The following is a 27,967-nucleotide window of genomic DNA, read 5'->3' as shown; positions in this document are numbered from 1 at the left end:
CTGTTTTGATAAGATTCTACAACTGTCATTGGTATACATACTAAGTTATAAGAAGACCATTTTAGACTTTCCCAGACTAAGATATAATGTTGCATTGAAAATTAAAGTAAGTTGGAACAGTTAAGCTATTTTGTTTTTAAGAGCGTATAAATACCTAACTTTAAAGTAGTTTAAATGATTTCTGGTTACATGTTTTCATTTTTAAAAATATGGACTGCAGGACATTTTTTTTTGTGACTGGAGTATGAACTAGATGTCAAAAAACAGTGTTAATGCTTACTGTCTTTTAAAGCCATCTTGGAAGTTTTTACTTGTCTAACTTTTCTTCTTTCCTTTGTAAAACTTACCGTACAGAATATGTGTACATGGAAAAAGTCTTCTTTTTGCAGATTTAAAGTCTTTAATTATATTAGAAAATTTTCAGTAGAAAACAACTAGTTTTATTTTTAATTCTAAAAAAATAAATAATGACCTCTTAACTTCTTACATGTATTGTATCTTTTTTCCTTAGAAACCATTTTGTAGGATCCATTTTCTGCACTTGTGACACATGTTTGATTTGGGTTGATTTTCAACGTTTCCTGGTTTGAACACATTTTCCAATCTATCACAATATATAGATGAATTAGTCAAAAATCTAGGGTTATCTTTTTATTATACGTAATTATGATACTAATACAAGTTTTCTAATTTTGATTTTAAAAAATACTCTAACTCTTATTTCTTTCTCAGGATATCATGAGGATGCTAAGATAAGCAAAAGATGAAGCACATTAAACAAATAAAACATCATGTATTAAAGCTATTCATTGCTTTATGTGCTCTAATGTCATGTTAATTATTTCATATGTTAATGTGTACATGCTTCTGAAGTGTGTGCAAGGCATTCTGCCTCTAGCTTTGTTCTTTGCAGTGTACTTGAAATGTGCATTTACCCCAATAGAACTGCTCACCCGTCATGTGGTCCATATCTGTGTAACGAAAGATACATAGATGTGTATGGCTACTGTATATTTGTAAGCAAGCGGAATGTTCATTACTAATATAAATTAGGAATTATGGTGTGTTTAACATCCCAATAACTATTATTCATGGCAGAGCGTTAATTTTAAATGATTTTTCATGTATTATAGTACTGCCAAATCTGTCGAAAGGGAGATAATGAAGAACTGCTTCTTCTTTGTGATGGCTGTGACAAAGGCTGTCATACCTACTGCCATAGACCCAAGATTACAACAATCCCAGATGGAGACTGGTTTTGTCCAGCTTGCATTGCTAAGGTAAGACCAATCTAAAACTAAACTTTTCATTTTATTTTATCTTTTTATTATTTTTTTAATACATGGTCTCAGTTGCCCAGGCTGGAGTGCAGTGGTATGATCATAGCCCACTACAGCCTAAAACTCCTGGGCTCAAGCTATCCTCTGGCCTCAATCTCTTGAGTAGCTGAGACTACAGGTGTGCACTGCACCCAGCTAATTTTTTTTTTTTTTGAGAGAGAGATAGGGTCTTGCTATGTTGCCTGCAGTGGTCTCATCCCTGGCCTCAAGCAATCTTCCTACCTCAGCCTGCCAAGTCACTGGAATTACAAATGCAAGCCACTGCACCTGGCTCCAAACAACTTTTTAATTACTAGATCAAAATGCAGAATTTTATGGTGTTTATTTTTGAAGGCAGACTCTAGGTATTCCCTACCTCAGTTACTTTCTCCCATGTTTAATCTCTTAACCTAATTATTAACAGTAAGCTAATTGTTAACAATCTCTTAACCTAACTTTTAACTACCGCCTCTCCATAAACTCACTTCAAACATCCATCTGTCCACCTCCTTTCTTCCCTTCCAGTTCACTCCCTGTAGCACTTCAACTCCAACAATCCTTGGATCTCACCAGGACTTTCGGTTTGTCTTAAGACTTTTCACTGTTGCTCTCCCACTTCATGTCCTCTCTTTCCTCCTATTCTGTCTTATGTGTCATTATCCCATTATCCCAATCATTGCTTCCACCATTAGGTCCTTTGCCTGCCCCTGCCCTTGGTAAAACCGTTATTCTGGTTAATACAATTCTCTGATTTCTCTAGCACCTATACCTTTGTATCTGAATATAGCTGTGTAATACTCAGCCTTTAAATTCAAGGCTTTAAGGCCTGGGTATGTTGGCTCACACCTGTAATTCAAGCACTTTGGGAGGCCGAGGCGAGCAGATCACTTGAGGCCAGGAGATCAAGACCAGCCTGGCCAACATGGCAAAACCCCATCTCTACTAAAAATACAAAATTTTAGCCAGGCAAAAATTAGTGGTGGCACATGCCTGTAGTCCCAACTATTTGGGGGGCTCAGGCAGGAGAACCGCTTGAACCTCAGAGGTGGAGGTTGCAGTGAACCCAGATCATGCCACTGCACTCCAGCCTGAGTGACAGAGTGAGACTCCATCTCTAAATTAATAAATAAATAAATAAGGTGTTAGAGGCCTTTAATGATGTCAATAATTTATCTCTAGCTCTGCCTCCTCCATCTTCATTCTCAACTTATTGTCATTCAACTGAGAAAATGGAAGTCATCGGAAGAAAATATCACATCTTGCCAGCACATCTGCTGTCCTTCTGCATCCGGGCTCACATACCTTACCTTCTCTGCTGTTGCCATGAACTCCTAACTAAGCAAATTTTCCCACTTGTGCCTCAGATCCCATCCATTCTTACCTCCTTGGGAATATTATTCCAGCAGTTCTCCCTTCTCCTGCATCACCAATTTCTCCTTCTCCACTGGGTTCCTCTCTTTAGCCTACTGATGTGCTGCTATCTCTCCCATCTTAAGAAAACTAAACAAAAACCCTCTTCTGTCCTCACTTCTCCCTTGATCCAGTTCCTCCATTTTTTCCTTCCATTTACAGAAAAACACTTGGAAAATTTTTTGTTCTGGTTCTATCTAATATCTCTCCTCTGGTTCACTCTTTGTTTTTTAAGACAGAATCTTGATCTGTTGCCTTGGCTGGAATGCAGTGACACTATCACAGTTTATTGCAGTCTTGAGTCCCCCAGGTTCAAGTTATCCTCTCACCTCAGCCTCCCAAGCAGCAGGGACTACAGGCCTGTGCCACTATGCCTGGCTTTTTTTTTTTAATTTTGTAGAGATGGGTTCTCGCTATGTGCCCAGGCTGGTCTCAAACTCCTGGGCTCAGCTGATCCTCGCACTACAGCCTCCGAAGTCTGGGATTACAGGTGTGAGACACCACACTTGGCCCTGATTCACTCTTGAACTCACTATAGATTTTCACCTCCACAGCTTCTCCAAAAGTGCTCTTATTGTGACCACAAACAGCATTCAGATTTCTCACTCCAGTGATCAGTGCCTATGTCATCTGACCTATTACATTTGATAGAACTGAACGCTCTCTCCTCTTTGAAACATTGATTTTCACTTGACTTCTAAGATACCATACTCTCCTGGTTTTCTTTCCAGTCTTTGCTTCTTCTCAAATCTTCATCGATTTCTCCCCACCTTCCTGATCTGTAAACATGGGAGTGCTTTTTTTGCCTCGAGGTTATCATTTGTAAAATGGGATAGTATCTGCTTTGTGGGAATTTGTGAAGATCAAATAAGGTCATAAATGTGAAAGTTTTTATAACTTTATAGTTCTGTGAAATGTTTATTTTAGTATTTTATATTTTAGACTATATTTCACAAGATAGCAAGTGGTCTTACATGGCATCATATTCACTAATAGTCATTTTTTGATTATTTTGATTATTCTCATTGATCATTTTTGTCATACATAGTTAAATATAACTTAACAGCAGTCTTCACTGATGTACATAAAATTATCTTATAACTTCATAACTTAAGTTATAGAAAGTTTCTCTAATACTCTATGAATTACTAACAGATTAGTGTTTTTGGTCTTGGGAGTATCACCTGGTAGGTCATTGGACGTTTGTTTTCAATAAATTTTCTTAAATTAGTATCCTAGCTATCTACCATTCAAGCAGTAAACTTGGAGACATAAGATCTGTAATCTCATTCAAGCCCTTCTATGTGAGTACAGCTTTCTAAGCTTCTGCTTTTTTTGTTTTTTAAATGTAGTGAACTAGATATTTCTTACAACAGTAAAACTCTAAACATTGATTTTGATATATAATGAAGGGTTAAGGTTTTTAAAGTATCTTTCAATTTAATTCATAGTTATTTAAAAATATTTATACTATACATACACCTTGCTCTCAAGTGGCTTTTTCTGCATACATTATCCTGATTAACTGTTTTTACTCTGCGTGTATGTGTGTGTGTATGTATGTATATATGTGATCACAGGATCACAGAATCGAAAAGATGTGTATGTGTTTGTGTGTGTGTGCATATATATACAACATAGCTATACCCCAGTATCTGCAAATCTGCAAGGGATTAGCTCCAGGATCCACCATGGATACCAGAGTCACAGATGCTCAGGTTCCTTATATAAAATGGAATATTATTTGCATATAACCTACACACATCCTCCTGTATACTTTAAGTCATCTCTAGATTATTTATAATACCCAATAAAACTATGCAATAAATACCCAATAAATGCTATGCAAATAGTTGTTAGACTATATTGTTTTTTATTTATTATTTTTTAATTGTTGTTTTGTTATGAGGGGGTTGGATTTTTTGCTTTATATTTTCTTTTTTTTTTTTTTTTTCCTATTAAGACAGAGTCTCACTCTGTTGCCCAGGCTGGAGTGCAGTGGCACGATCTTGGCTCACTGCTGCAACCTCCACCTCCCGTGTTCAAGCGATTCTCCTGCCTCAGCCTCCTGAATAGCTGAGATTACAGGTGTGCTCCACAATGCCTGGTTAACTTTTATATTTTTAGTAGAGATGGGGTTTTGCCATGTTGGCCAAGCTGGTCTCGAACTCCTAACCTCAAGTTATCTGCCTGCCTCGGCCTCCCAAAGTGCTGGGATTACAGGCATGAGCCACTGTGCCCGGCCTTTGTTTTATATTTTCCATCTGCAGCTGGTTGAATCCACAGATGTAGAACCTGCAGATATGGAGGGCCACTTATATGAATATACACTCTTAGATACACACACACATACACACACAAACTCACATATTAGACATTTCAAACTTCAGTGCCTACAAAAGCCAAGTAAATGACATGAAAGAGTTCATTGGACCCCTCATGGGCACTGTGGCAAACAGGGGAGTCATGGCCCTATTTAAATTTAATAGTCAAAGCTCAACTCCACCCAATTGTTGCCATGTAGGAATGTGGGCCCCATGTTCCAGAACCCACTAATATTTCAAGGGAAGTCAAGACTATGGATTTTTATGTCCTCCCAAATATTAAATATTGGAAACAAATTCAGAATTTTTACAAGCATTATATGAACCAAATACATTCTGTGGCCTGTTTGGAGCCGGTGAGCCACCAGTTTGTGACTTCTATCAATATATAAACTAGAAAGATATGTACCATTGTTCATGAAATCTGATAAGTTTTGCTTAAGACCCACTAAGTTCCTCTTTGAATTTGTACTCTAGCCAAGAAAAGGTGATGGGGGTTGGGGGAATGCCCTGCCCAAGAGCAAAGTAATCAGGTAACAGAGTAACTTGATAAAAGTTTGCTTTTAAAGTATGTGTAGGTGCACTATCTAATGAGATCATCAGCTGACACACATCATTTTTTGTCTTTAAAAAATCACAAGTTTTTTGATTCTGTGATTTCAATTTCATACTTTCTTTTTTTTTTTTTTTTTTTTTCGTTTTGAGGCTGAGTCTCATTCCATCACCCAAGCTGGAGTGCAGTGGTGTGATCTCAGCTCACTGCAACCTCCACCTCCTAGGTTCAAGTGATTCTTGTGCCTCAACCTCCTAAGTAGCTGAGATTACAGGTGTGCACCACCACACCCAGCCAATTTTTGTATTTTTGGTAGAGACGGGGTTTCACCATGTTGGCCAAGCTGGTCTCAAACTCCTGACCTCAGGCGATCCGCCCCCATTGGGCCTCCCAAAGCGCTGGGATTACAGGCGTGAGTTACCGCGCCTGGCCCAATTTCATATTTTCTTATTGTGAATATTAATTTGTTAGAAAATTATCCCAAGTAATATTTTAGTTCAAATAGAAACTAAATGTTTTGGCCCACTATTCATAATTCCAGCTCTGTTTTAAGTAACACAGTTATTTAATCTAACTTGTCATTAAATGGACTTTTTCTTCATTATATTAAGTTCTCCTTTTTAATGATTTTAGAGATTCAGAGTAAAAGCTCAGTGTAATATAAAAACCCAAAATAATCAGATTTTAATGAATATAAATAACTAAATGGAGAAGAGACTGAATAAAACATATTAATTATTTCAGTTAGTGACAGGGGTTGTGATTCTTTGATATCATATGGTGAAAGTGTTGGATTTATGGTTTGCCTTATTTAGTCAATTAAAATATCTCCTTAACTATACTTTAACCTGCCAATAAAGAAACAAATAATTTTAACTGCTTAAGAGCATTTTTAAGTAAGGTACTGGCAGGGGTCATGAAATCCTCAAAGACAATGCTATGAAATACTCCAAAGGACTGTTTTTCAGCCAATTTTAAGAATACAACCAACTTTATTAGCCAGGCATGGTGGCTCACACTCGTAGCCCCAGCTACTCGGGTGGCTGATATGGGAGGATGTCTTGAGCCCAGGAGGTTGAGGCTGCAGTAAGCCATGATTGTACCACTGCACTCCCAGCCTGGGCAACAGAGCGAGACTGCCTCAAAAAAAAAAAAAAAGATTGCAGCCAACTTTAAATTATTGCTACACTGATTATGTGACTTTGCAGTCTAGGATTTCTTAACAATCTGGTTAAGGGAATAGTAGTTTTCTAAAAGTGTTTGGTGTGTACCACATATTTGGAAAATAAAAATAAAAGCCATACGTTGCCAGAAGTTTACATATCTTTCTTTCATGATCTATTATATTTATTATAACATTTAACTCTCAAAAGGCAGATTTTTTTTCTCTATGAATACAGGGTGGGGCACCCTTCTTGTTGCATCAGTGTGCTGCCTGCAATTTGTAGTTATATTGCATAAGACCATGTTGAGAGTTCTTTTTTGCATGTAATTCTAGAGCTAGAATGACTTTAGCAAGTATGTGGCTTGTCATCCTTATTTTTTAAGTGAGAAAACAGGGCCTCACAAATATTTTTGCTTAAAGTTAGTAGCAGAGCCATAGCTGGAATTCATATCCTTCGATTCCAAGTATAATGTCCTTTATGTCATTTCTTTCTATGTTGTTTTTCTCAAAAACAGACATCTTTTTGCCCCATCTTTCACCACTGCTTTGTTCACACCTGGGAACCACAAGTTTGTGGAACTCTCTTCTTATTGCAAATACCTGTTATCTTTTATCCAGGAAAAAAAATCAAATCAATTTCTAGTAGATTTGATCACTTGGACTTCTCTATTTGACACTTCCTTAGCTCTTTTTCATTTTTTGGCCTGGCTTTTTATTACCTCTTCAACTTTCTTATTAACAATCTCTATATTTTCATTTATATTCATCTTTGTTCCTAATTCTGTTGTGCTCCAAAAGAGAATTCTTTTGTATCTTTAAACTCATTCAAGTAGTGACCTAGACTGAAAGAATACTACAGACACCTTCTGTAGATGAATTACCATGAGATTAGCATCTTCAAGTTTTAAGAATTCTTAAGATGAATAGACTTTTCATGTTTTATTAGATTTTATCCTTATATTATGAGAGGAAAAAATACACAGATCTTTCTTAAGAATAATAGTTATCAACATTCTAGATCAGAGTTATTCTTTTTACTTATTTGTCCTGTCAGACTTTCATAATTTAAAATAATAGGTCTGTAGACAGTCACTTTCTTACACCTCATTTACTTTTTTTTTAAATTAAAGGCAAGTGGTCAAACTCTAAAAATCAAAAAACTTCATGTCAAAGGAAAAAAGACTAATGAGTCAAAGAAAGGCAAGAAGGTAACTTTAACAGGAGATACTGAAGATGAAGACTCTGCATCTACAAGTAGTTCACTAAAAAGAGGAAACAAAGACCTCAAGAAAAGAAAAATGGAGGAAAACACTTCTATTAACTTGTCAAAACAAGAAAGTTTTACTTCAGTTAAGAAACCTAAAAGAGATGACTCCAAGGACCTAGCTCTTTGCAGGTATTATTTCCGTTTTCATGCACTGTATATTTATAATGCCCCATTTTATTTGTTTAGAAACCTTTTACCATATTAAAGCTTTCTTTCTGATAATTTATGTAAATAAAAAAATGTAAAGCATAAATGTTAAGAAAATATATAAGTAAAAGTATAGTAAATGTATTCCTTTATCTTCTTTTAATGTTAATTTGCATTGAGTTTTTATTTGAAAGATTATAATTGGGCCTGGCACAGCGGCTCACACCTGAAATCCCAGCACTTTGAGAGGTCAAGACAGGTGGGTCACCTGAGGTCAGGAGTTCAAGACCAGCCTGGCCAACATGGTGAAACCCTGTCTCTACTAAAAATACAAAAATTAGCTGGGTATAGTGGCGTGCACCCATAATCCCAGCTACTCGAGGGGCTGAGGCAGGAGAATCACTTGAACCCGGGAGGCAGGGGTTGTAGTGAGCCGAGATGGTGCCACTGTGCTCCAGTCTGGGCGATAGAGCAAGACCCTATCTCATATATATATATATATATATATATATATATAAAATATATATATATATATATATATAATATATATATATATAATATATATATATATATAATATATATATATATATAATATATATATAATAACTGAAAGCTTTTTTAATTAAAAAATAAGACAGTTGTAAAGTATGGATACTGATTTCAAACATTATTTTCTTTAGTATGATTCTGACTGAAATGGAAACTCATGAGGATGCATGGCCTTTTCTACTTCCTGTAAACTTGAAACTTGTTCCTGGTTATAAGAAAGTTATTAAGAAGCCTATGGATTTTTCCACAATTAGAGAGAAACTAAGTAGTGGACAGTAAGTAAATCATTTCAGTTCACTAAATATTTATTGAATACCTGATATATGCTAGGCATATTTTTAGTGAGCCAAAGATATTTTAATTAACAGCAAGATATAGGCCCTGCCTTTGAGGCAGGTGTGTGTGTGTGTGTGTGTGTGTGTGTGTGTGTGTGTGTGTGTGTGTGTGTGTGTGTGTGTGTATTTGGTTAGAGTAGAATAGTATAGAAGAGAAACCAACTAAAATTATTTAAGAAATTAAAAACCCGTGTAATAAACCTGCTTTTGACATTGAAAGAGCACCACAAACCCAAGCTGAAGGTAAGGAAAAGTATCAGGAGAGCCTCCCAAAGTAAGTAACATATAAGCCGGAATTTGTATTTTGCATCCATGGAGTATCAACCACACGTCATATGGATTTAACAAAAATTGACTCAAATATTGTTAGATTATCACAATGTAGAAATAGAAGATCTTTGGAAGCTTTACATATTAAGAGCTTTAATGTGAGTTATTGGAGAATACCAAAATTCCATTTATTAAATGCGGGAGAGAAAGCTTATTTGCTTTTCTCTACCATATTCTCTTTGCAATCCTATTCCAAGAATAAAGTTACTTACTTTGGGAGGCTTTCCTGATACTCATACAATATATATTTTAATTACATTGTTATTATCCAGTATATTATTTAGTTCTTCCTATACATTCTTTTGGTGAAAATAACTGTTCTCTATGATTTATATTCAATTTAGAAGAGTTAAATAGAACTTATAATGATCAGCATCCCTCACATATATCAACTGATTTACTAGATTGACCAAATGACAAATTTATTTCTTTGGAGGATGAAATAACAGCCGTCCAAAGGTTTATGTCTGTTTTGTTTTATTATTTTTTAATTACAGAAGGGACCTGCCTAAGTTAAGGAAGCGTTTAAATGATTGATTGGTACTGATTGGTTCCAATATGCAAACACTGTTACCTAGATATGGACTAGTTCTTTTGTTTGTTCTTTTTTTTTTTTTTTGAGAGAGTTTCACTTTTGTTGCCCAAGCTGGAGTGCAGTGGTGCATCTCGGCTCACTGCAATCTCTGCCTCCCGGGTTCAAGTGATTCTCCTGCCTCAGCCTCCCAAGTAGCTGGGATTACAGGTGCACGCCACCATGCCTGGCTAATTTTTTGTATTTTTAGTATAAACAGGGTTTCACCATGTTAGCCAGGCTGGTCTCGAACTCCTGACCTCAGGTGATCCGCCCACCTCCACCTCCTAAAGTGCTGGGATTACAGGCGTGAACCACCTCACCCAGCCTCTTTTGTTTGTTCTATCAAAATAGTTGTCTAGGTAGATGGCACAATGAAATTTATAACTAACATGGCCAAGAAAAAGAATTACACATGAAGACTTTACTAGTATTTAAATTAACTCTTGATTTTAACTTCCATGATCTTCCAATTCCTGGATAAAAGATTAACGTAAACCTCAAAATTCCTAAAACAAATAGGCTTAGAAATATTTATAACAAAAAAATGCTACAAAATCATATGGGCCAGGCAAGGTGGCTCACGCCTGTAATCCCAGCACTTTGGGAGGTGGAGGCAGATGGATCACTTAAAGTCAGGAGTTCAAGACCAGCCTGGCCAATATGGTGAAATCTCATCTCTACTAAAAGTACAAAAATTAGCTGGGCATGGTGGTGTATGCCTGTAGTCCCAGCTACTCAGGGATGAGGCACAAGAATCACTTGAAACTGGAGGTGCAGGTTGCAGTGAGTTACCTCGCCACTGCACTCCAGCCTGGGCAACAGAGTGAGATTGTCTCAAAAAAAAAAAAAAAAGCTACAAAATCAGAGCTCCTTTGAAAAATGAGTCCCAGTGAATGGAGGAAGTCACAGGGGAAGAGAAAGAGAGAAGGAAACAGTCTGTGTATTCCTGTTTGTGATGCCAGGTGTGTGGGAAGCAAAATTTCAGTGGATTCAAGCTCCTCGAACTCTCCACTTTGAGTTGTTTGATTAAACCCAAATTAATGAGTTGGAACCAAAACTCACAAACCATATTTCAAATTTTTAAACTAGAAATTTTTAGAATAGAGGGAGGGGCCTACTTACATGAATTTTTCTGAGTTCCATTAGCTGCCCCATCCCATAAAGGAAGGACACACATATGAGTTGTATACTTTTTTCACCTAGAATCTCACCTAGAATTCTCTCCTGGACTCCACTCTCCCTAATGTTAATCATTAACCTTTTCTTAGGGTAAGGAACAAAGGCAGAAGTAGTTCTCAAATCAACTTTAAAATATTTTGTAAAAATCATTCCCACACAGATTGTATGATTCCATTTAGATGAAGTATCTGGAATAGATAAATCCATAGAGACAGATAGAAGATTGGTGGTTGCCAGGTACTGGGAAGAGGGAGGAATGGGGAATAACTGTTTAATGAGTATGATGTTTCCTTTCAGGGTGATGACAGTGTTTTAGAAGTGACGATAATACAGTGTTGTGACTTAAATGCCACTGAACTGTCCACCTTAATATGGTTAATTTTATGTGAATTTCTTAACCTCAGTAAAAATAAGCAAGTAATTCCTAGGAAAATGGATGAGGTTACATAAGGGCTGACTTAACTCTGTGAGCACATTACGCATAGAGAAATATTTCTTTCATTATCGCACAGAAGAAGCGAGTGAAAGGTCATACAAGATATTTCACCAAAGAAATAGAATTCCACTTTGACAAGATCTCACAGCGTCAGTGCCTCATAGGGTATTTCTCTTTTTTTAATTTTTATTTTAATTTTTGCAGGTACACAGTAGGTGTATATATTTATGGACTACATGAGATACAGGCATGCAATGCATAATAATCACATCATGGAAAATTGGGTATTCATCACCTCAAGCATTTATCCTTTGTGTTACAGATAATCCACTTCTACTCTTTTACTTATTTTAAAGTGTACAATTAAACTATGATTGACTATAGTCTCCTTGTTGTGCTGTCACATACTAGGTCTTATTCATTCCTTCTATTTTTTTGTACCCATTAACTATCCCCACCTCCCCACTGCAGTTCCCAGCCTCTGGTAACCATCCTTCTACTCTGTTTCCATGAGCTCAATTGTTTTGATTTTTAGATCCCACAAATAAGTGAGAACACGTGATGTTTGTGTTTCTGTGCCTGGCTTATTTCACTTAATATAATGACCTCCAGTTTGATCCACGTTGTTTCAAATGACAAAATCTCATTCTTTTTTTATGGCTGAATGGTGCGCCATTGTGTTTAAGTACCATGTTTTCTTTATCCATTCGTCTGTTGATGGACACTTAGATTGCTTCCAAACCTTGGCTATTGTGAACAGTGCTGCACCAAACATAGGAGTGCAAATATCTCTTTCATAAACTGATGTCCTTTCTTTTGGGTATATACTCAGCTGTGGGATTGCTGGATCACATGGTAGCTCTGTTTTTAGTTTTTTTGAGGAACCTACAAACTGTTCTCCATAGTGGTTGTACTAATTTACACTCATGAGATATTTTTAATGGTTACATTATTTTAGTATACAGATTGTCATAGGTTAGAATTAACTTAAAATTTGCATTTCTAAAAGCTATCTTTTAAAATGTATTGAACTGGCTTGAGTTGGTTTGAAATGACCATTCCCTTCTTACTAATAAGCTTATGCAGATTCATTCACCTTTCTTTTCTCTTTTCTGTTTTTCTACAGAGAAAGAGAATTGGGCTTATCCCGCCAGAAAAGCACAGAAGCCACAGTGCTTCTTGTTGAAAGACAGACCCTCATAATGTTACCTCTAGTAGAAAGATAGCATATGCTTGTTTTGCTTGTTTGGGTTCATCATACTCTATTGCTTGGGCAGAAGAGCACATATGAAGAGAAGAGAAATGGGAAATGGGGAAGACAACGCAGAGCACCATATCTTGGGGTGTATATAGAAGCTACAGGACAAGTGTAATTTTTATCATTGCATGGGGAGCATTGACATAATTTCTACTGCAGCTGAGCATTTTTTAATATGGATAATAGGATTCTGCAAGTGATACATTTGGTCAGAGAACTTAATAAACTAGTCAAGTGGGATAGGTCCTGTGACAGAATTGTGTGATACAGGTCAAACAGGAGTTGGGTTATGGGGAAAATGCCAGTTGAAATATGTTTTGATCTTTGGAGAAACCTATTTTTTCATTTAACCTGTTCTTTAAATCCAGTATGTTCCAGAACATACAAAAATGTTTAAATGTTCCATTTGTAAGAGGATATCATGTATTTTATATCAATTTAAATGCAGTTATCCTAATCATTTTTCTTTCATTTTTACCCTTTATTAACTCTTCATTTGTTTACAAAACAAATCCACTCTATGAACGCAATCTCTAATTATTTGTTTTCTTTCAGGTATCCAAACCTTGAAACCTTTGCTCTAGATGTCAGGCTTGTTTTTGACAACTGTGAAACATTTAATGAAGATGATTCTGATATAGGCAGAGCTGGCCACAATATGAGGAAGTATTTTGAAAAAAAGTGGACAGATACTTTCAAAGTGAGCTGAAGTTATAATAATCTCTTTATTTTTTTCCTTCTAAACAAGGACAAATGAGACCAGCAATGTGAACTGTATTTACATAAACGTGCAAGGCACATACATAATGACTTTCTTTTTCCTTAAGTATAAAAAAAAAGTATCAGAAGAATGATACCATTTTTAAAGGCTTCATTCCTACAACAACCAAGGCCCTCGGTTATTGGTTTGTGTGATTTATCAGCTAATTTAGGTAGAACAGGGAAGCACACCCAAAGAATTTTCAAAGGAAAGGGTGTTATAGTGCAATAGCAATTAAAATATATCAAATCGCACTGAATACTCAACACCAGAGCTCTAATGTGGGAAATGGTTCTCCTTTCCCTCTCAATAAATATCTATTTTTCATTTTTTTACTTTGTAGTTTATTTTTTAGTGAATGTATTTAATTTTATGAATTATTTATGATTAAACCACATCCAGAATCTTCGTTTTCTGTGAAAAGGAAGAACTAGAAAATTGCTTTAAATCTTGAAAATACAAGGAATGTTTTAAAATATAAAACAAAGCCAAGTTAAACTGTTTACACTGATGTGCTATAAAAGCACCAAAAAGAAACTTTACTGTAGAGTTACAAGTACATTTATATATATATGTTGCTGCATCACTTGTGTAGTTAAATTGTATTTCAAAACAGTGAAAAAATTGACATGTATATACTGTTCATTCTTGTTTATATTAAGTCTTGTTTTAAATATGTATTATGTGTATATATTGTTTGCAGACATTATTGTTCATGCCTTAGAGGATTGTAGCATTTTATTTTCGTCTGAAGGTAATGATAGCTATACAGTCTGTACAGTAATTATCCTCTACCAACACTGTGGCGTCTCCTTAATCTTGGTAGTGCCTGCCTTTGAAACAGGGTGTAGGGGATATTAGTTTTCCATTTTTCTATTTTGTTATATAATTTTAAGCCACCAGGGCCTAAATTAAAGTATAATCATTTGTATCCATGTGGAATAAAATTGTGACAATTTCCTACGCACACAGTATTTTTTCATAGAAACATTTCCCTCCCATTTGCCTTGCCTCAGAAATAAATTTAAAAGACGTTTGTAACCACTGTGTTTTATCTACTGTGTGTTGTGGTGGCCTGTTGGAGGCAAATAGATCAGATTTTTTTTGTACCTACGTAAGAGTACTTGAAGTTTTATTTAAAATAAAATGTTGTGGAAAAGGTAGCATTCTTTTTTTAGGAGTGTTATTTTTCACTATGTGTGGCACGGATACAATAAAAGACTTTTACAAACTAATTTTTTAGTTTTTCTTAATGTACCTGAAAATATATTCTTTTTTAAAAGCCAGTTAATTTAAATTTGATTTTTACAGAGACCTGTAGGAGGAACAGTGTGTAGAGTGTGGTTCAAAGAGCACTGGGCTGGGTGGAAGAGGGTGAGTTTAAGTCAGGTGGCCAAACTTCTGTAGCCTGAAAACCTCTCTGGTCTGCGAACTTCTCCGAACCTTGTCTTCTTTCTTATTTCACATTTTCAAGATGAAAATATTAGAATACATTAGATCTTGTTCTGGTCTGAAAAATGCCTCTATGGGTAGCCAAATAACTCAGTTGTCAAGAAGAAAAACGGATATATAAATTAGTCTAATAAGACATGTATTTCTCCAAGAATTCAAGAAATGCAATTTGCTGCCCTGCTGGGCTCCGCCAGACTCCGGAGAATCATTGGCGTACAAGACAGGCCTTGCCTTCATGGAGCTTATAGCCCCTTGAAGTGGGCCTTAGATAATGTCCACTGCTTTTTATCATGAAGAGAGAATATAGAAATGTTTTGCAAAAAATTTTTTTAACTTCACAAAGCTTCAAAGCCACAGAGTATTTTCAGTATCTCTAGATTGTTTGTGAAGACTTATATGAAAAATCAGCTGTTACTATGTAAATATGTCAGTTTCTGTTAACCAGATATTGCAGTGATGCCTTAAAGGGGCTGGTGCTTAAGCAAAAATGCTTTGTAGAGCAGGGAAGAAGGCAGCACTGTGAATAAAAGTGTCTGGTTTTTGTGTTTCTAGAACTGCCTGATGCTCCATGGGGATTCTTCATGATGATTTTTTTTTGCCTTAGAGATTATATATGCTTATGTTAATTTATATTAGATGGTATATAAGGGGCTTGATAATAACATGTCTGGTGCCTCAGGGGCTCATAAATAAGAAAGTACTTAAACACACACACCAAAATTTTTGAGAGTGATAATTTTAAAAATAAATAGGAAAAAAAGAAAGGCTTGGTAAACACTGGCTACTTCGGACTGGTGTCTTCATTGTTGTTACTCAGCAGAGGTAGCTGTTAAACACTGAGTGGGCATGAGCCCACAAGGGCTGCGGTTGGAGCACATGACAGTGGTTACTATACATACGTGGATCACTTGTTATGTAAGTGATTCATGCACTCCCAGTGCCCTTGGTTGGGCTTATTCTCAATAAAACCAGTATCATTGTTCTCCTCAAATTAAAAAAAAAAAAGATTATCCTAACTCTCTCTGCTGTCACATAATTGCAAGTATATACAACATATTTTCCTTAAGATAAATTAGGCTTTCACCTGAAGCTTCCTCATTTTAGTCCTAAAATCTGTAAATTATTAAGAAACTGGCCTACTTTCAAGTTTAGATTTAGATTACCACTCAAGTGGTGACCAACCAAGGATAACCAAACAATCCACTACTGTTGAACACAGAAAATAATCATCAGTTTGAAACAGTATGCAGACAGTAAAGTAATATTTGAGTTGTTAACCACAGTGAAAATTAAACAGGTGAAGATGTGTCTATAGGTACACCTAAAACCCAAAAGAAGTAAATTAACCATAAATGCAAGGTGATCTTTTTCTTGTTCCAACTCCAAAATAAAACTTGTCACAAGCACCAGTTTTAATCTGAATTATGAAGGATCTAATCTGTCTTTAGTACCTTAATGTACCCCTCCATGCTCCTTCTCTTTTCCAGCCCCTCAATCCCCATATTCTTTAAGGAAATTCAAAATTCTGTCCCTTTAGCTTTCTCCCTTTAAACACATCCTCAACAAGGAAATCTGCTATCAGACATTTATTCCTAATTGTACTTTTAATTTATGAGCTTCCTCTTTCAAGGTTATTTGCTTTTCAAATATCTCCATTTGAGAAATGAAAGAGGTTTGTGTCTTCCTAAAAGAATTTTATTTCAACAAGGAGAATAAAGGAGGTATTTTATTTTATTTTATTTTATTTTATTTTATTTTATTGAGACAGAGTATTGCTCGGTCGCCCAGGCTGGAATGCAGTGGTGTGATCACAGCTCACTGCAACCTCCGCCTCACGGGTTCAAGTGATTCTTGTGCCTCAGCCTCCTGAGTAGTTGGGACTACAAGCACGTGCCACCACACCTGGCTGATTTCTGTATTTTCAGTAGAGATGGGGGTTTCACTATATTGGCCAGGCTGTTCTCAAACTCAGATGATCTGCCTGCCTCAGCCTCCCAAAGTGCTGGGATTACAGACATAAGCCACTAAAATGTTCTTTTCTTTCTTTTTTTTTTTTTTTTTTTTTTTTTTTTGAGATGGAGTCTTGCTCTGTCACCCAGGCTGGAGTACAGTGGTGCAATCTCGGCTCACTGCAAGCTCCGCCTCCTGGGTTCACACCATTCTCCTGCCTCAGCCTCCCAAGTAGCTGGGACTACAGGTATCCTCCACCACGCCCGGCTAATTTTTGTATTTTTAGTAGAGACGGGGTTTCACCGTGTTAGCCAGGATGGTCTCGATCTCCTGACCTCGTGATCTGCCCCCACGGCCTCCCGAAGTGCTGGGATTACAGGCGTGAGCCACCGCGCCCGGCCAAGCCACTAAAATTTTCTTTCCAGGGGGATGTGACTTTAAAAACTAGGGAAATGAATAGAATCTTATCTGCTGGGAATCTTGCTTCAACAAGATCTCTTAGACTTGCTTTGGCCTCATTACAACTCTACAAAAAAAGGAATTTTTTTTAAACCTCAAATAATTGAGGTAATTAATTTCTTTCTTCAATTCATGGCACACTCTTTACATTATTCTTGCAAAGCCCCTCTGTGTTACTTTTTTTGTTTTATTCTTCAGTTCATCTCCACTTTCCCCTATATACAACCACTTAAAATATGCCTTTCCAGTCGACTACTTATGTATTTATTTAGCAATATGTTTCTTTATATAATATGAAAAATACGTATGTACACACAGTGGTTTTTAGACATATCAGTTGTATTATGCTATAAATCTTATTGTTTTTAAATTCTGTTTCTGTTTCTTTTGAGTTGAAAAAATGTGTAACTCTAGTTCATTGGTTTTGATTGCTATAAGGTATTCCATCAGAGGCATACACAACATTTTACTTACAAATTCCTCTAGAAATGAAAACCTAGGTTGCCTGCAACTCATTGTCACTGCAAATAATACTTCAGTGATTTTTTTAATACATGGACTTGTGTATGGAATCCAGTTTCCAAGGTATCCCCAAGTGACCCTTGTCTTCTAGTATTCATGCCCATGTATAATCCCTTTCCACATTGTGTCGGGGTTAATCTTTGTGACCAACCTAATATGGCATAGTGATAGCTTTGTGAATTCCCAGACTAAGTCATAAAATAACACTGCTGCTTCCGCCTTGTTCTCTTGGATTACTTGTTCTCGGCAAAACCAGCCATTATGTTATGAGGATGCTTTAGCAGCCCAGCCCTATGGAGCAGCCAATAGCTACCACCAGCTTACCAGCCCTGTGCCTGAGGCATCTTAGAAGTGGATCCTTTAGCCCAAGTTAAACATTCAGATGACCGGAGCCCCAGCCAACATCTCGACTGAAACTTCATAAGCAACCCTGAGCCAGAACTATCCAGCTAAGCCACTCCTGATTTCTTGACCCACAAAAACTATGAGATAATAAATGTTTATTGTTGGTTTAAACCACTCCGTTTTGAATAATTTGTTATCCGTCAATAGATAACTAATATCCTGAGGTAAGAGTTTCTCTTGGATCTACACAGGGGAGTATGCCCCAGTTGTTAGGTCTGTACTTGTTTAACTTGCCATGATATTGCCATGCTACTCTCCAGACGACTGCAGCAGTTTAGCCTCCTACCATCAATGGAAGAGGGCTCTTTCTCCCTACTGCCCAACCAGTGCCCAATATTTGGATTATTTTTTCCTAACAACTTATTACAGATTTTGAATTTTGAAAAGTATCAAGCATTTATTATTATTATTATTATACTTTAAGTTCTGAGATACATGTGCAGAATGTACAAGTTTGTTCCATTGGTATACACATGCCATGGTGGTTTGCTGCACCCATCAACCCGTCATCTACATTAGGTATTCCTCCTAATGCTATCCCTCCCCTAGCCTCCAATCCCCCCACAGGCACCGGTGTGTGATGTTCCCCTCCCTATGTCCGTGTGTTCTCATTGTTCAACTCCCACTTACGAGTGAGAACGTGCAGTGTTTGGTTTTCTGTTCCTGTGTTAGTTTGCTGAGAATGATGGTTTCCAGCTTCATCCATGTCCCTGCAAAGGACATGAACTCATCCTTTTTTATGGCCGCATAGTATTCCATGGTGTATATGTGCCACATTTTCTTTATCCAGTCTATCATTGATGGGCATTTGAATTGGTTCCAAGTCTTTGCTATTGTGAACAGTGCTGCAATAAACATACGTGTGTATGTGTCTTTATAGTAGAATGATTTATAATCCTTTGGGTATATACCCAGTAATGGGATTGCTGGGTCAAATAGTATTTCTGGTTCTAGATCCTTGAGGAATCACCACACTGTCTTCCACAATGGTTGAACTAATGTACACTACCACCAACAGTGTAAAAGCGTTCCTATTTCTCCACAGCCTCGCCAGCATCTGTTATTTCCTTTTTAATGATCGCTATTTTAAGTGGCGTGAGATGGTGTCTCATTGGGCTTTTGATTTGCATTTCTCTAATGACCCGTGATGATGAGCTTTTTTTCATGCCTGTTGGCTGCATCAGTGTCTTCTCTTGAGAATTGTCTGTTCATATCCTTTACCCACTTTTTGATGGGGTTATTTTTTTCTTGTAAATTAGTTTAAGTTCTTTGTAGATTCAGGATACTAGCGCTTTGTCAGATGGCTAGATTGCAAAAATCTTCTCCCATTCTGTAGGTTGCCTGTTCACTCTGATGATAGTTTCTTTTGCTGTGCAGAAGCTCTTTAGTTTAATTAGGTCCTATTTGTCAATTTTGGCTTTTGCTGCCATTGCTTTTGGTGTTTTAGTCGTGAAGTCTTTGCCCATGCCTATGTCCTGAATGGTATTGCCTAGGTTTTGTTCTAGGGTTTTTATCGTTTTAGGTCTTACGTTTAAGTCTTTAATCCATCTTGAGTTAATTTTTGTATAAGGTGTAAGTTTCAGTTTTCTGCATATGGCTAGCCAGTTTTCCCAACACCATTTATTAAATAGGGAATCCTTTCCCTGTTGCTTGTTTTTCTCAGGTTTGTCAAAGATCAGAGGGTTGTAGATGTGTGGCATTATTTCTGAGGCCTCTGTTCTGTTCCATTGGTCTATATATCTGTTTTGGTACCAGCACCATGCTGTTTTGGTTACTGTAGCCTCGTAGTATAGTTTGAAGTCAGGTAGCGTGATGCCTCTAGCTTTGTTCTTTTTGCTTAGGATTGTGTTGGCTATACAGGCTCTTTTTTAGTTCCATATGAAATTTAAAGTAGTTTTTTCTAATTCTGTGAAAAAAGTCAATGGTAGCTTGATGGGGATAGCATTGAATCTATAAATTACTTTGGGCAGTATGGCCATTTTCACGGTATTGATTCTTCCTATCCATGAGCATGGAATGTTTTTCCATTTGTTTGTGTCCTCTCTTGTTTCCTTGAGCAGTATCAAGCATTTTTTTCTAGTCACATGAACAGCTTTAATTTTCATTTACCTTTTTGTAGTTTTTATCTTATGTAGACATAGCTTAACCCTATCTGCTTTCTAGACTGTAGAAATGGCCCCAAATTTTACTTTCAGCAAGTGATATTCAGGAGATGAAACATTCGCATTTGCTGTGGTTACTTGGAAAGACTGATGGTGCTAAAGGAAAAGCTCAGATAGGTATACAGAAGTTCCTAGAAAATAGAGTTTTGGGTGAGACTGGGGCTAACAGATTTATGAGTTACTGTAGCAAAAGAAGTATTTGTACGTGTGCTGGATAGGCAGTTGGCTAAATCCAAGGTGAAAGGAAAAAGCTCATTGGGTTCTTCTGGACCTTCACGGAAAGAATTTTGCACCTTAGCATTTAAGTCCATGGAAAGGCAGTGGCAAAATTACTATGTGATATCCATTTGTAGTTTCTCTTCCTTAGCCATACACATGAAGATTAGCTGGGTTGTTCTCATTAGATGCCTAAAGAAAAATGCATTATGGCAATACCATAAATTGTGCGTAGTTCATTCTTTAAATGTTTTTTAAATTTAAAACCTTTTTTGGCCAGGTGCAGTGGCTCACGCCTGTAATTCCAGCACTTTGGGAGGCCAAGGTGGGCAGGTCACCTGAGGCCAGGAGTTCCAGACCAGCCTGACCAACATGGCAAAACCCCGTCTCTACTAAAAAATACAAAAATTAGCCAGGCATGGTAGTGCACACCTGTAGTCCCAGCTACTGGGGAGGCTGAGGCAGGAGAATCACTTGAACACAGGAGACCGATGTTGCAGTGAGCTGAGATCGTGCCACTGCACTCCAGCCTGGGCAACAGAGTGAGGCTCTGTCCCAAATAAATAAATAAAATAAAACCTTTCTTAAAAATTAAGTATTAAGCTGGACTTGAAAGAATATCCTTATTACCTCTGAACAGACTCCTCGTTATGTCCCTTAGTAAAAATAGCCATAATAATCATGGTAGTGGCTATCAAAAGAATGTGGTTGAATCTTGAAGAGAAATTCATTAGTGAATGAAAAAGAGAAATAAGGCTTATTCCCATTTGGGAATAGATCTTGGGTGGAGGTAAAAGGAAAGCTCAGTGACATTAGTAGGCCATTAAAAACGAGTGAGGCATTCACATGACACAGATTTGCATGGAGACAGTAAAAGGCCTGGAGAGGCTATAGACTTATTCTAATCATTTTTCTAATCTCCAGATATTTTCACAGCTTTTTCAAGATTGCACTCAGCATTCGTGATGCACTTTCCTGTCTTCATTGTGCCAAGTCTCAATTCTTTTGAATACAGAAGTGACTTTTTTGAAACAAAGACAGATTCTACCCAGCCATTAAAACTTATGTAAATCTATGTAAATATTAGTAAATTAAGTTGAAAGGCTGGCTATAGTATAGAACATAGAGTATTTCTGTAAAATATATTGTACTTAGCATGGAGAAAATTCTGAAGGGGATGTATGTATATATTTAAATGTTAGCTTTTTCCTCTAGTTGGTAGAATTTGGAAAGACTAATGTCATCTTCCTTATCTGTATATAATATCTCTGCAGCAAATGTACATTGTTTGCTTTTTAAACATTTAAAAAATCTTTTACAACCAAGGAGGGTCAATTTAGCTAGTAGATATAACTGGTGAATTTACTAAAAAATGTCATTTAAGGATTAAAATTGATATAACATTACATAATGATTGAGATGCAGGTTAACCTCACATATAAGATCTAACTTAAGTTAGTTTTTTATTGTATAGATATTTTGTATGTAAAATATCTATATAATAAATAGACACTTCAGTTGCCTATTCAGCAGCAGTCTTGTCTATCTTCACTCCTTCCTTTAGATGCTGGTTGGCCATATGATTCCAGGGGTGAATCTTTGTTAGTAAGCCAACCATAGTAATTCCATTCCTCTTGCAAGTGATTGCTTAATGAAGGCATGTGATAGAATTCTAGGTAGTGACGAGAGCAAGTCTGCTGGGAGACTCCTGGAGAAGTGTCCTGTGGAGAACTTGTGTCCCAAAGAGACATATTCTCTTGTCTTTGGAGATGGTTGTCAGAGGCCATGATGCTTGGAGCTTCTGCAGCCATTATATAACTATGCAGAGAGAAAATAAAAGTAACTGAGGAAAGGGGTGAGGACGGGAGGGGGAAAGAAAGGACTTGGGTAATAACATGAGCCATCAAATTAACCTTGGAACCACCACTACATCTGAACATTTTGCTAGGTGAGGTAATAAATTTGTTGTGTAAGCCATTTGATTTGAGTCTTTTCTTTTGGATGGAAGTATCTTGATATAGCCAGGGCTACTGCTTCATAGTTATTCAGGCTACATGCTGTACAACTCAAGCGTGCTTCATTTATGTAGATTAGGGTACAGCTTATTTTACAGATAAGAAAACTAATACCAATACTGCTAATACTCATTGCCACCCAGCTTGGTAAACTTGAGTTAGGACTTAAACATTTGTTTTTGGCCTTCAAAAACAGCATTCCTCAGAACATGCTATGACTGATTTTCTTGATGACCTTAAATATTTGTTGAATGCATTTTTCCACAAAATATTCCAAAACTGATTTGAGCACTGGTAGCATTACAGAATAATATCTAGATGTTTATTTTCATTTTATTTATTTATTTATTTATTTATTTGAGATAAGGTCTTGCTCTGTTGCCCAGGCTGGAGTGTACTGATGCAACCATGGCTCACTGCAGCCTCAACCTCCTGGACTCAAGCAATGTTCCCCTCAGCCTCCTGAGTAGCTGGGACCACAGGCCCATGCCACCACACCTAGCTAATTTTTTTTTTAAGAGATTGGGTCTTGCCATGTTGCCCAGGCTGGTCTCGAACTCCTGGGCTCAAGCAATCCTCCCACTTCGGCCTCCCAAAGTAGCAGGATTATAGGCATGAGCAATTGCGCCCAGCCAGGATGTTTATTCTTAAAATATTAATGCATACTAGTTTATTTAGAAACAGTTACATTGCTTTGGAATGAAAATATAAAAAGAAGAATGAAAGCTAAGTTTGCTTCTGTACATGAGGAAGAAACTAGGTCTAACTTTAAGCCTCCCACTGTAATCAATCAGGCAACTGGAGAAAATATATGAAATAAATGTGTTCAGACATTAGATTATAGGCAGTACAAGACTCTAATTCCTAAAATAAGTGTAACAAATGAAGCTGGCCTTGTGTTTTCCCTGGCTTCTGCTGAAGGCACTTTCTGGACTTTAGCAGAGGAGATATATTCTAAATAGAGCACAGAAATCACACTGAGTTGAGGAGACAGAGGTCAAAGTTTAGGAAGGCTGAGGTTGCTGGTGTTTCCAGGTTATAATACCAGAGAACAGAGGGCTACACAGAAACAGCTCCAGAAATCAAGTCTGCCCTGAGACACTTGAATACTAACCTGCACATCAATAGGGTGAAACTCTCTAAGGCCATGCAAAGAATGACCAGGGATCTATAAGTCAAACAATCCCCAAAGCTCACACAGGGCTGGGAGACATTTGAGTTCTGACCAGCCCAAGTACAGAAACTTCATAGAACTTTCAAGAAATTGAGTAGAGACACCAAGAGTCATACCTTAAGAGTAGGACTAAATTAGCCCTAGAGAAAAGGCTACTATACTCCTGCCCTAATGAAGTTTAAAAACAAGCCTCAAAAGGATCAAAATGATCTGCAAGTAACTTAACAGGCTACTAGAACAAAGTCCAATACTCTTTGGAGAAGACAACACAATTCAGCGCTCAACAAGTAAAATTTAATATGTTTACCATTCAATCAAAAATTACTATACCTAGACATGAAATGAAGGAAAACATGACCCATAACCAGGAAAAAAATCACTCAAGAGAAACAGACCCAGAAATGACAACGATGATGGAACTAAGAGGAAAGGACTTTAAAATAGATATTATAAATATGTTGAAGGAAAAATGAGCATGATGAAGAGAGAATGAAATATATCAAAAACAAACAGAAGCCCTGGGGATTTTTTCTTAAGTACAATATACAAAAAGAAAATATATTATGATCAAGTGGGATTTATCACAAGAGTACAAGTTTAGTTTAACTCTTGAAAAACATCATAGTAATAGAACATTAGAAAATTTACCATATTAACAATATAGGAAGAAAGCCAATTATCTCAATAGATGCAGATAAAGCATTTGAAATTTACCATTTCATGTTTAAAATTCTAAGCAAATTAAGACTAGAAGAGAATCTCCTCACTTTGATGAGGGGCATTATGAAAAACCTATACATGGCATCGCATCTATTTGGTCTTTGACCATTAGTCCATTAGACTAATGGACTTTGACCATTCTAAGACTGGGAACAAGGCAAGGACATTCATTTTTACCACATATCTTCTACATTGCACTGAAAGTATTAGCCTTTACAGTAACAAAGAAGAAATAAAAAGCACTCAAAATATAAAGGAAGAGGCAAAATTGTCTTGATTTGCAGATGACATGATTATTTATATACACAATCCCAAGGAGACTACAAAAAGGTGATCAAAACTAATAAGTGAATTTAGCCAGGTCACAAGACCCAAGAAAAAAATGCTAAAGTTAGATTTCATCAAAATTAAAAACGTATGCTCTTCAAAACAATATTTTTTATAAAGAAAAGAGACTACTGACTGGGAGAAAACACAGAATTGGCAATACACCTGTTTTTGAAAGGTTTGTATCAAAATTATGTTAAAAACCCTTATAAAATATAACTCCACAAAAGAAGATATACAAATGGACAGTAAGCACACACAAATGTGTTTAATTTTATTAATATCAAAGAAATGGGAGTTTTTTAAAAAGCATAATGAGATACAACTATACACTCACTACAATGGCTAAAACTAAAAAGGCTGAAAATAAATACCACTTGTTGGCAATGATGTAGAGGAATTTGGAACTCTCATGCAGTACTGTTGGAAATGGAAAATGGTATGACCACTTGGGAAAATTGTTCAAGTTTCTTATAAACTCAAAGATACACTTTCCATACTAATTCCACTTCTATGTATTAATCAAGAAAAATGGAAACATGTTTAGACAGGGACTTGAACATAAATGTTAATAACACTTTTATTCATAATAGCCAGAATTTGGGGGAAAAAACTGTTCATTAACAAATGAATAAACAAATTTTGCTATGTCTGTACAATAGAACATTAGTCAGCAATAAAAAGTAATAAACTACTAATATGCCAACAAGTTTGAATCTCAAAAACATAATGAACAAAAAAGCCAGACATAAAAGACTATGCACCATATGATTCCATTTCTATGGAATTCAAGAAAAGGCAAACTAATCTACAGTGAAAAAATGCAGATCAGTGGTTGCCTACAGCCAGGGGTGGAAAAAGATTGATTGCAAAGTGTCATGGGAATTTTTTGTGTGATGGAATTATTCTACCATTTAAATGATGTTAAAACTCAACATACTGTGCAGTTTAAATAGTTGCATTTTATTTTATGTAAATTAAATTTTAATATAATCCATTTCTTCAGAGACCTGAAGATTTGGTATCTGGATGTGTTACATCCTGAATTTTATTGTTTTATCCATCATTTTTATTTATCAGCACTTTATAGCATAGGATGTGGTCACCACTACAGGCAGAGGATTTTCATGGTAGTTCATCTTTCAATGTTGATTTTTTTCCATGTGGAACTGGTGCTATGGTGGCGTAAAATACGTTTAAGCCCTCTAGATAATTTGAGAGTCATATGAAAGACAAGTGGAAAGAAACTTTCTTTTGAAAAATGGGGCACTTCAGCTTTGAATGTAGCAGGCTGATGCCTTATCTGAACCAAGAATAAAAATTATGTCCCTTATTCATCTTTATACAGTTTCAAATATTACTTCCATGACTATTTCTCAATGTTTTTAACATTAAGTACGGTTGGGCACTGTGGCTCACGCCTGTAATCCCAACACTTTTGGAGGCCAAGGTGGGTGGGTCACAAGGTCAGAAGATTGAAACCATCCTGGCCAACATGGTGAAACCCTGTCTCTACTAAAAATACAAAAATTAGCCAGGTGTGGTGGCGCATGCCTGTAATCCCAGCTACTCAGGAGGCTGAGGCAGGAGAAACACTTGAACTCAGGAGGCAGAGGTTGCAGTGAGCCGAGATCACGCCACTGCACTCCAGCCTGGTGACAGAGTAAGACTCTGTCTCAAAAACAAACAGGCAAACATTAAGTACATCTATCGTACAACAATTGTTGTTGTTGTTATTGTAATTGTTCTTGTATTTCCATGATGCCATGCCTAAAATGTTATATTTACCAAATAATGGCATTAAAATAATTATCGCTTATGCGATATCATTACAGGTGCATGTACCATTCATTTGCGGCTATTTGGAACATTGAAAGTAGCACTAAAACACTATATTTTATTCAGAGATGTGAAAAGGCTGGAAAATCTCAGCTTTACTTATCATTGATGATTCCTATATCAATTCATACACAGATGGCCCCTGATTTACATTGCTTGACTTATAATTTTCCAACTTTACCATGTTGCAAAAGCAATATGCATTCAGTAGAAATCATGTTTCAGTAAAGTATTCAAATAAATTACATGAGCTATTCAACAATTCACTATAAAATACGTTTTGTGTTAGATGATTTTGGCCAACTGTAGGCTAATGTAAGTGTTCTGAGCACATGTAGGGTAGGCTAGGTTAAGCTATGCTATTCAGTAAGTATATTAAATGCATTTTTGACTTAGGATATTTTAACTTACAATGGGTTTTTTGGGAAATAACTCCATCATAAATTGAGGAACAACTGTACTCCTTTTCCTTCTTCTGACCTCAAAGTCTTATCTTTAATCCCCTACCAGGACATACCACAGGTAACACAAACTCAACACATCTAAAATTGAGTTCATAATCTTCCTACTTTCTGATTTGCTCTTTCCTCTGCATTCCATACCTCGGTTAACAGGATTAACACATATCTAGCCACCCAAGGTTAGAAACCTCAGAGTTCCTCTGGACTTCTATTTTACTTCCCCTCTCCACAATATCCTATTGAGACTTCCTCTAAAATTCCTATAGTGTGAATTCATTTGCAACTTTCCATTCCCACTGATACTATACTAATTTAGCACTCACCATTTGCCAGGTACCAATATCTCACTTTTTCTAGTTGCCTCTTTTTTCTTTTAAAAAATTGTGATATAGGCCGGGCGCAGTGGCTCATGCCTGTAATCCCAGCACTTTGGGAGGTCGAGGCGGGCAGTTCACCCGATGTCAGGGGTTCAAGACCAGCCTGGCCAACATGGCAAAACCCCGTTGCCACTAAAAATACAAAAATTAGCCAGGCGTGGTGGTGGGTATCTGTAACCCCAACCACTTGGGAGGCTGAGGCAGGAGACTCTCTTGAACCTGGGAGGCCGAGGTTGCAGTGGGCCAAGATCGTGCCATTGCACTCTGCACTCCAGCCTGAGT

At 36.7% G+C, this 27,967-nt stretch overlaps 1 protein-coding gene across 49 annotated transcripts in view; it reads left to right on the top strand.

Annotated features, from left to right (window-relative positions):
- The window catches only part of BAZ2B (bromodomain adjacent to zinc finger domain 2B), a 397,131-nt gene extending 378,623 nt beyond the window's left edge, over positions 1–18,508 (top strand). For 38 of the 49 annotated variants that reach the window (XM_047444047.1, XM_047444046.1, XM_047444040.1 and 35 more), the window contains 5 exons: positions 1,134–1,280; positions 7,902–8,167; positions 8,866–9,009; positions 13,402–13,546; positions 18,246–18,508. In XM_047444047.1, coding sequence (XP_047300003.1) covers positions 1,134–1,280; positions 7,902–8,167; positions 8,866–9,009; positions 13,402–13,546; positions 18,246–18,338 — 795 coding nt within the window. In that variant the 3' untranslated portion in view covers positions 18,339–18,508. Of the gene's footprint in view, positions 1–1,133; positions 1,281–7,901; positions 8,168–8,865; positions 9,010–13,401; positions 14,842–18,245 lie in introns of those variants that run through there. The other 11 variants (NM_001289975.1, NM_001329857.2, NM_013450.4 and 8 more) reach the window with 2 other exon arrangements.

Source organism: Homo sapiens, chromosome 2 (genome assembly GCF_000001405.40).
Source record: "Homo sapiens chromosome 2, GRCh38.p14 Primary Assembly".
NCBI classification, from domain to species: Eukaryota; Metazoa; Chordata; class Mammalia; order Primates; family Hominidae; genus Homo; species Homo sapiens.
This window is presented reverse-complemented; position numbering and strand designations above follow the sequence as displayed.